This window comes from Homo sapiens, chromosome 2 (genome assembly GCF_000001405.40).
Source record: "Homo sapiens chromosome 2, GRCh38.p14 Primary Assembly".
Lineage (NCBI taxonomy): Eukaryota > Metazoa > Chordata > Mammalia > Primates > Hominidae > Homo > Homo sapiens.
The window spans coordinates 69,906,672-69,915,108 of record NC_000002.12 but is presented as its reverse complement, the minus strand read 5'-3'; the positions used below and the strand labels follow the sequence as shown (position 1 = coordinate 69,915,108).

Below are 8,437 nucleotides of genomic sequence, written 5' to 3'. Positions count from 1 at the left end.
AGCAGCCGCCACCGCCGCGGAGTGTTTATCCCCGACTCACCATCTCCCCGCCCCCAGCCCCTTCTCTTGACAGGCCAGCTTCGGCCGCGTTCCTCATTGGGCCCCCCAAAGAATGCCCCGCCCCTACACTTGTGCGATTGGGAGAGGGCTTCAGGGCTCCACCCCGCAAAGTCCGCTCCTCTCGCTGGTTGGTCACACTTGACAAGGCCCGGGCTCCACCCCCTCTTTCCAACTGGTGACAGGATTCGCAACTCCGCCTCGTGCTCCTTCCTTGTTTCCCATTGGTTCTATACCAACAACCCGGGCCCCCTTTTGCTTTGTTAGTATTGGCCAAGAGCTGCAGAAGGCAAGCACCTCGCCGGTCTCCCATTGGTGAAGCCTTCGGAAACCTCCCAGCTACGATGATGTCACCTTTCTCCAGGCCAGGCGAGCCCTAAGTGGCTGATGGTCAGCAGCCTGGCTGCTCCTCACCGGGTCTGGCATTGGCTGGGAGGGCCGGTCCGGCGCTGGGCGGCGCTGATTCACCAGCCGCTGCGGAGCTCTGCTCCACCCGGCCTTGCCTCGGACCTGTTGCCAAGACCTGTCCCCGGGGAAAACTTCCGGGGACCTGCCAGGCGTCCATCGAATGGAAGGCTGGCACCTCGTGTCGCCTGGGCGCTCTGCCCCGCTTGGGTTCGGGGCCGGAGCCCTCGGTCTGGTGGCCGCGGCCCTGGAGGTTCTGGGCTTCGCGGAACTCGGGCTGGCGAGGGCCCAGCCTCGAATCCTCCCGAAGAGCGGTGCAGGCTAGTGGCCGGTGAGCCGGGAGCTAGGGCAGGCGCCACGTGGCTGCTGCGGGGCTTGAGAAGAAAAGCCGGCCGTTGTTAAATGCTCGCCGCTCGGCGTTTTTTCTGCCCTCAAGAAAGAGCTGGAATCGGGCTGCAGTATACAGCATTGAGCTCATGCGCCTTTTCCGCACCCCCCTCCACCCCCGGGAAGTGATGGAATAATTAATTACTTTCACGCGAGCGGCTTTTTAAAGCTCAGAGACTTCCTGAACCTACAGAATGGCATTAAACCCTAAGATTCTTTGCTTAAATCTCTTTTGGGGTTTTCCCCTCCCTTTTAATTCTAGATGAAAACACTCACAAGATTATTGTTTTTGTTTGTTTGTTTTGAAAGGGAGTTTTGCTCTTGTCGCCCAGGCTGGAGTGCAATGGCGCGATCTCGGCTCACTGCAACCTCCTTCTCCCGGGTTCAAGCGATTCTCCTGCCTCAACCTTCTGAGTAGCTGGGATTACAGGTGCCCACCACCACGCCCGGCTAATTTTTGTATTTTTAGTAGAGACGGGGTTTCACCATGTTGGCCAGGCTGGTCTCGAACTCTTGACCTCAGGTGATCCACCCACCTCAGCCTCCCAAAGTGCTGGGATTACAGGCGTGAGCCACCGCACCCGGCCAAGAATACTCTTTAAGACGTCTGCAAATTGTGTGTTTCCGCATGGGGTGGTACCAATATAAATGCTTAATAGAATGTTACGTATACAGAACTAAAAAGGTTAAAGATCGGTCCCTAAACCTATTAAAATTTTTGAAATGAAAGCTATCTGGCAAACCAAGCTACACTGCCAATGTACTGACAGACATCTCCAATTTTAAAAGTAGAAATAAAGTTCTTGGTAGGTTGAGTCCCCAAAATACAAATGAGTAAAGCATGAACATATTTCTTTTTTTAAAAGTTTATTATTGTTGCCAATATATAATAGCTTACTATGTGTAGGTATCCTACCTACATTATCTCTAATCCTCAATATAACCCCATGAGGTAGGTTGTGTTAATTACATTTTGCACGTGAAGAAACTGAGGCCCAGGGAGGCTAAATGATTTTCCCTGTCATGCATTCAGCTGCAGACATGGAAACTGAACCTATGTATGTCTCACCCAGAGCCCAAATTACCAATCCTCCTGTTGGTAGTTGTATAAAGACAAGGTGGTTTAAACAGATTTCCAGACTGAGTCACAAAACACTGACAACTCAAGTACTGAAGAAAAAGAAAGACAAAGGTGTAAATGTAATTATGGTGGGAAATATTAAACATGTATTTTTTAATGTCCACAAACCCACTAAAATTAAATCAACTCAATAAATAGAATAAACATGTAGTAAATCATGCCTGACATATAGGCATATTCTGGTTTCAGTGGTTAACTGGATCTAAAAACTGATTCTTTATGAAAATACTAATGAAATACACATACTGAAGGTAAAGGTTTTCAAAGCACAATACAAAGTTGGAAATGAAGGTAGAAATATAACAGTTTTTTTTCTCCATATCAGACAGGTAATGTACTAACGCTGTAACAAGCTCTTTGGGAGGCACATCTCATACATGCAATGGGAACACCTAATTACTATGTTTATGAACTATAAAAGGATCTAAGTTTTAAAAGAGTATTTTTAAATTGGATGTTATTTGTAAAACAAACTTCAAAATCATAAACGAGTGCAATTCTACTAAAGTACCCAAAGTGATAATACTAAAAATGCTTTGATTTCATTATCCTGACATTTTGGATTTTGTATATATTTATATTTTCTCTTTAATTTTATTACAAACATTTGGCATATGTCTTTAGTCTCTTACTCTCAACTCTTTATTTTAACCAAGTCCTATTTCAGTATCATGACCCTTCCTCTACAATCACCCTGACCAGAAAGTCACACTTATTTTTGTCTTAAAAAGGGGGAAAAAAGGTTGAAATCTGAGCCAGAAACAGCAAATAATTTAAATGCCAACAAGTCTAGCTTAGACTCCAAACAAAAATACTACATTATATAAAAATTAGAGAATCAGCTGAAGAATAGACCATGTTCGTTCCTTGGTGGTGGATGAAATTATCAATTAGCCAGCAACACCAACTAGGGATTAGTATAATGAAGACCTTCAAAGGGTGTTTGGTGCCATCTACTGGAAATGAAGTAGTAAGTATAAAACAAAGGTTTTGAGATTCGGAGTTTTCCTAGAAATTATTTTACACAGATGTATGGAATGACCAGTTAATTAAGAAAACCTGAAAGTATAAGTTTTGAAGAAAGAACTGAGAATCCTAAGATAATGAAGAAGTGGTGACTTTCAATACCTAGTGCCTCAAAGGCATGGCCTAAGCATTGACTGACTGAGAGTCACAGCTCCAGAAATAGAAGCTGGGAATTCTAGAATGTTTGAACCAGAATTTTATGACCAGAACTTTAAATAAAAAGTTATGTGTAATAGCATAAACATGGGATGACAATAGTTTATATCTTTGAGCACATATCAAGATAAACTAATTGAGATATATACTTGAAAATGGGGAATTACAAAGACATAAAATATTAGACTTGTCAGATAATCTTTACTGCCAAGTTAATCTCTGCCCAGTCTCCTCTGGGAGGCTTATACTCCAGATGGGCATAGGACAGTATATTAAGAGGTAAATGCCAATACTGAGCAAGCAGCAGGCTCATCACACACTATGGAGTTCTCTGCCGGAGATGCCGCTTCAGAGAGCACCCCAGAGTGGCAGGGAAGAAAACTGTTACCGTATTATAATCCTGAAGTGCCTAAAAAGTTCTATCACTATGGGAATTAAAGCCCCCTATTTATAACTGAGTTTGATACCTCCTAACTACTATGACATTAAAATATATTTTGTCTTATAAGGTTTTGAGGAATTGATTTTGTTCCTCGAAGCAGATAAATCAGGATTTCAAGTTTCTGGTTCAACAGTATCATCTCTTTCTTTGTGGCTATTTTGGACACACTAATATGATACCTAACATCATAATATTAAATTTTAAAAACCTTTAAAAACACTGTTTTGCAAAAATTAGTCACTCTACAAATCTGTGATTTAGAAAATGAGGCAACAGCCAGGGGCCGTGGCTCATGCCTGTAATCTCAACACTTTGGGAGGCTGAAATGGGAGGATCACTTGAGCTCAGGAGTTTGAGACCAGACTGGGCAACATAGTGAGAACTCACCTCTACTCAAAAAATAAATTAGCTGGGTGTGGTGGTGCAGCCTGTAGTCCCAGCTACTTGGGAGGCTGAAGCAAGAGGACTGCTTGAGCCCAGGAAGTTGATGCTCCAGTGAGCATAATTGCACCACACAGCACTCCAGCCAGAGCAGGTAAACAAACAAACAAACAAAAAGGCAATGGCTAAATTGTCATATGTATATCACACAAAACACTATGCAGCAGCTTTTTAAAAGGTAGATTTATATATACTGTCAAGAAAAGATCCCTAAGGCACAGTGTTGAGTAAATAGATTGTAAAATAACCCTTACAGCATTTTCTTTTTAAAGGCCCAAACTATGTATTTTCCCAATTTCCTACTCTGCTATATACATACAGGCATGGACAAAAGATACAAAGCAAAGGATTAGCAGAAAGAATGGGCAATATCATTCTGAGTACTGTTCGAAAGGAGTTTAGCTTTGTCACGATGTTTTAAGACTGTTACAAGAAAGACGCTTGCCACAAATGATATTTCCTAAAAGAAAAAAATGTAATATTTAACTTTTCTTCTGTTGAGGCAAGATAAGTCAACTGCATATATCATAAATAAGATTTTCTTACTTTACAAGAAGGAAGAACTGAGATCCTGTTTTTTGAATGCAAGTTAAATACAAAATAAAGTACTTGGGTAACTAAAGGTAATCAGATGTAAAATGAAGATCAAGGGACTAGGTTAGTGAAAAAAGGTTACAGAACTATATTCACAAATTCAAGACATGGGTTGAGCGTTGCACTCTGTGCCAGCCACTGTGTGGTGCTGGGGCTGCAGAGCTAACCAAAGAGATCCCCCACTTCTCCGAGCTCACTGTCTAATAGAAGAACCAGACGTAATAAAAGAATATAGGGTATGTCAGGCAGTGATAAATGCGGTGAAGACAAGTAAAGGAGGGCTTGGAGAGCCACACGGAGAAACTGGAACCCTCATATATTGTGGATGGGACTGTAAAATAGTGCAGCAGCTTTGAAAGACAGTTTGACAGTGCTTTATGTTTAAGTTAAACATAGTTTCCATGACTTGGTAATTCCACTCCTAAGCATACTCCCAAGAGAACTGAAAACATGTTCATACAAAAACTTGTATACAAATGTTCTGGCACCATTCTTTCTTTCTTTCTTTTTTCTGAGATGGAGTCTCACTCTGTCACCCAGGCTGGAGTGCAATGGTGCAATCTCTGCTTACTGCAACCTCCGCCTCCTGGGTTCAAGCAATTCTCCTGCCTCAGCCTCGCAAGTAGCTGGGATTACAGGCACACGCCACCATGTCTGGCTAATTTTTGTATTTTTAGTAGAGACAGGGTTTCACTATGTTGGCCAGGCTGGTCTTGAACTCCTGACCTCAAGTGATCTGCCCACCTCGGCCTCCCAAAGTGCTGGGATTACTGGCATAAGCCACCACACCCAGCCATGGCACCATTATTTCTTAATAGTCAATAAGTGAAAACAACTCACATGCCCATCAACTGATGAATTATAAACAAAAATGTGGTATAACTATAGAATGGAATATTATTTGCAGACAAAAAAGAATGATGGATGTACTGATACATGCTACAACACAGAGGAACTTTGAAAACATTATGCTAAATGAGAGAAGCCAGACACAAAAGGCTACATGTTGTATTATTCCATTTATATGAAATGTTCAAAATAGGTACATCTGTAGAGACAGGAAGTACATTAGTGGATTCTAGGGGTAGGGGGATGAGGAGTGATTATTAATGGATATGAGGTTTCTTTCTGGGGTTATGAAAACATTCTGGAATTAGGAATGATGGATGCATAACTCTGAGTATATTAAAAACCACTGAATTGTAAGCTTTAGAAGGGTAAATTTTATGGCATATAAATTTTATCTCAACTTTTTAAATGTTAAAAAAAAAAAGAGTAAAGCAGAGTACAGAGACAGGGAAGAAAGTTTCCTATTTTGGATAGGGTGATCAGGAATGACCTTAGTTTGAGCAGAGATCTGAACAATGTAAAGAAGCTACTCGTGCAAATCGGGGAGGTGGGGGAACATTCCAGAAGGAAGAAAGAGCAAGTGAGAAGACTCTGGGAGTAGACACAAGCCTGTTTTGAAAGAACAGCAAGGAGGCCGGCCAGTGTAGCTCAGTGCAGTGAGCAAGAGTGAGGCTGTAGAAAGCCAGGGTCTAGGTCATATGGAGGCCCTGTAGACCACACTGAGGACTGGACTTTATTCTAAATGATTTAAAAAAATCACTGGAGCCAGGAGCAATATGACTAGTTGCACATTTAATTAATTAATTAATTTAGAGACAAAATCTCGCTCTGTTGCCCAGGCTGGAATGTAGTGGTGAGATCTTGGCTCACTGCAGCCTCCGCCTCCAGATTTCAAGCAAAACTCCTGCCCCAGCCACCCGAGTAGCTGGGATTACAGGTGCATGCCACCACGTCCAGCTAATTTTTGAATATTTAGTAGAGATGGAGTTTCACCACATTGGCCAAACTGGTCTCAAACTCCTGACCTCAAGTGATCCGCTGGCCTCAGCCTCACAAAGAGCTGGGATTATAGGCAGGAGCCACTGCGCCCAGCCTTGATGTACATTTCAAAAGGTTCCTCTCTGATACTGGATGGAGAATAAACAGGCAGCAAGAGTGGAAGGAGGAAGACTTGTTAGGAGGCTACTGCAGTAGTCCAGGCAAGAGAGATGGCTTAGGTTAGCACAGGTGGTGAAAAGTGGTCAAATTCAAAATGTACTCTGACGTTAAAGCCAAAATAATCTGCTAATGAATCAGATGTAAGGCATAAAATAAAAGAGTCAAAGATGGCCCCAAGGACCATGGTCTGAGCAAAGGAGTGAATGAAAGGGCCATTTACTATGATGGGAAAGCCCCAAAAAAGAAGACTGGGCAGAGTTCTGTTCAGTTAATCTTAAATTTGAGGTGCCTAATAGTCTAGTTGCATATACATGACTGTAGTTCAGTAAAATGGTCCGACAGGAAGAGTATAAATTTGAGAGAGATGGCAGAAGGTGTTTGAAGCCACACAAATGGACACTTCACCAAAGAAGAGACTAGAGAGTCCAAGGACTGAGCCCTGGAGCACTTAACATTTAGACACTTAGAAAACTTGGCTCAATTTACATCCCCTATGAGGATGAGCCTCTTAGAGGAAGAATACAAGGATGCTGCACTTTGGTTATTCTTCCAGAATTAGATGATCTAATGGATAAAAAGTTCCTTCAAACCAAGACTTTTGGGATCAAAGGTATCTTTTCTCGATTTTTCAAAGATTTCCTCTTCTTCTATTTCTTTAGTGTTAGCTCACAGACAGCAGATCTGTTGACCTACCAGATTCTCTCAGATTATTTATCTGCAAAGTATGCTGCCTTAAGGACTTCAAGTCAAATCTCTAGTAACACAACACCAATAAAATGATAAGGCAGTACTTTGGTTTGGAGTATATTATTTTATCCTAGAAGATTTGGCTTCACTATTAAGACAACAATTAGGTCTGCTTTTCTTAGGTATACACAAAAATAGAAACAGTCCTTATGATGGATTATTTACAGATATATAGTATTTTGGTGGGTAGAGGCATGGGGAACTATTTAGCTCAGCTGGCAAAAAGTCCAAGCAAAACAATCCAAATGCCTAGAGTGGTGACAGTTGTGCAATGGGTACTTCAAAGCTGTACAACATTCAAATACTTAAACATTGAAGGCAGTAGGTAGAATAAACATCAAGAGTTTCTGCCTTTATGCTGAATAGCATTAGCTTTCTCATCTGGGAAATGGGAGATGGTAGTACCTGCTCTATTTATCTCATAAGGATTAAGTGAATCAAGGTGCTCTGCACCCTGTAGCATGCAATGCAGTCATTATCATTATTATTTTCTTTACAGGGAACTAACGTGCCAGGAAAGCTTTCAAAGAACTAAGTAGGCCAGGCATGGAGGCTCGTGCTTGTAATCCCAGCACTTTGGGAGGCTGAGGTGGGTGATCACCTGAGCTCAGGAGTTCGAGACCAGCCTGGCCAACATAGTGAAACCCCATCTCTACTAAAAATACAAAAATTGAGGCTGAGCACGGTGGCTCATGCCTGTAATCCTAGCATTTTGGGAGGCCGAGGCAGGTGGATCATGAGGTCAGGAGATTGAGACCATCCTGGCTAACATGGTGAAACCCCATCTCTACTAAAAATACAAAAAATTAGTCAGGCGTGGTGGTAAGCGCCTGTAGTCCTAGCTACTTGGGAGTCTGAGGCAGGAGAATCACTTGAACCCGGGAGGTGGAGGTTGCAGTAAGCTGAGATTGCGCCACTGCGCTCCAGCCTGGGTGACAGAGCGAGACTCCATCTCAAAAAAAAAAAAAAAAAAAAAATTAGCCAGGCATGGTGGCATGCACCTGTAGTCCCAGCTACTTGGGAGGTTGAGGCAG

At 42.5% G+C, this 8,437-nt stretch overlaps 1 non-coding gene across 1 annotated transcript, besides 4 other annotated features; it reads right to left on the bottom strand.

Annotated features, from left to right (window-relative positions):
- Positions 169-774: an enhancer, noted in NCBI's record as "NANOG-H3K27ac-H3K4me1 hESC enhancer chr2:70141467-70142072 (GRCh37/hg19 assembly coordinates)". NCBI's record gives its function as "activates a minimal SCP1, AML or CMV promoter by ChIP-STARR-seq in primed H9 embryonic stem cells {active_cell/tissue: H9 hESC(primed)}" and the evidence as "EXISTENCE:reporter gene assay evidence [ECO:0000049][PMID:30033119]".
- Positions 277-476: an enhancer, noted in NCBI's record as "active region_15982". NCBI's record gives its function as "activates an Ori minimal core promoter by ATAC-STARR-seq in GM12878 lymphoblastoid cells {active_cell/tissue: GM12878}" and the evidence as "EXISTENCE:reporter gene assay evidence [ECO:0000049][PMID:35858748]".
- Positions 577-686: an enhancer, noted in NCBI's record as "active region_15981". NCBI's record gives its function as "activates an Ori minimal core promoter by ATAC-STARR-seq in GM12878 lymphoblastoid cells {active_cell/tissue: GM12878}" and the evidence as "EXISTENCE:reporter gene assay evidence [ECO:0000049][PMID:35858748]".
- Positions 787-836: an enhancer, noted in NCBI's record as "active region_15980". NCBI's record gives its function as "activates an Ori minimal core promoter by ATAC-STARR-seq in GM12878 lymphoblastoid cells {active_cell/tissue: GM12878}" and the evidence as "EXISTENCE:reporter gene assay evidence [ECO:0000049][PMID:35858748]".
- LOC124906176 (small nucleolar RNA U13) lies at positions 2,310-2,414 on the bottom strand. The gene has a single exon (XR_007088761.1). It is a non-coding gene; the product is annotated as a small nucleolar RNA U13 (small nucleolar RNA).
- Positions 2,415-8,437: the final 6,023 nt, after the last annotated feature.